Raw genomic sequence first — 1,298 nt, forward strand, 5'->3', positions numbered from 1 at the left:
AGCTGGGACTACAGGTGCACACTACTACACTTGGCTAATTTTTAAATTATCTACAGAGATGGGGTCTCCCTATATTGCCCAGGCTGGTCTGGAACTCCTGGGTTCAAGATATCCTCCTGCCTCAGCCTCTCAAAGTGCTGAGATTGCAGGTGTAAGCCACCATGCCTGGCCATATTAAACCCATTTTTCAATTGGGTTGTCTTTTCATTATTAAATTGTAAGAGTTGTTTATATATTCTGGATACAAATCAGATATATGATGATCAGATATATGATTTTCAAATATTTTCTCACAAAATGTTTTGGCTTGTATTTTCATTTTCTTTTCTTTTTTTCTTCTTTTTTTTTTTTTTCTTTTCTTTGAGATGGAGTCTTGCCTTGTTGCCTAGGCTATAGTGTGGTGGCGCCATCTTGGCTCACTGCAACCTCCATCTCCGGGGTTCCAGCGATTCTCCTGCCTCAGCCTCCCGAGTAGCTGGGATTACAGGCACCCGCTACCACGCCTGGCTAATTTTTGTATTTTTAGTAGAGACAGAGTTTCGCCAAGTTGGCCAGGCTGGTCTTGAACTCCTGATGTCAGGCGATCTGCCCACCTCAGCCTCCCAAAGTGCTGGGATTATGGGCATAAGCCACCGGGTCAGGCTGTATTTTCATTTTCTTAATGGTATCTTTTGAAGACACAAAAGCTTTGAATTTTGGTGAAGTCCAGTTTGCCAGTTTTTTTCCTTTCATCACTTTTGCTTTTTTTTTTTTTTGAGATGGAGTCTTGCTCTGTGGCCCAGGCTAGAGGGCAGTGGTGTGATCTTGCCTCACTGCAACCTCTGCTTCCCCAGTTCAAGCAATTTTCCTGCCTCAGCCTTCTCAGTAGCTGGGATTACAGGCGCAGGCTGCCACGCCTGGCTAATTTTTTGTATTTTAGTAGAGATGGGGTTTCACCGTGTTGCCCAGGCTGGTCTCGATCTCCTGAGCTCAGGCGATCTACCCGTCTCAGTCTCCCAGAGTGCTAGGATTATAGGCATGAGCCACTGCGCCCGGCCCACTTTTGCTTTTGGTGTTATGCCTAAGAAGTCTTTGCCCAACCCTGACATGTTTTAGAACTGCCCCTCCCCCCACTTACCAATATGTCTTGGACATATTTCTATTTCAGTAAATACAGATCTGCATCACCATCTTTATGGCTTCCATGTCTGGAAAAAGGAGAGGAGAGAAAGGAGACAACAAAGCCAGGCTACTTGAAATATCCAGTACAAATTTGTTCATTCTTGGGGCCTTCCTGTCTCTATTTTTTTTTTCTTGAG

This window comes from Homo sapiens, chromosome 9 (genome assembly GCF_000001405.40).
Source record: "Homo sapiens chromosome 9, GRCh38.p14 Primary Assembly".
Classification (NCBI taxonomy): Eukaryota; Metazoa; Chordata; class Mammalia; order Primates; family Hominidae; genus Homo; species Homo sapiens.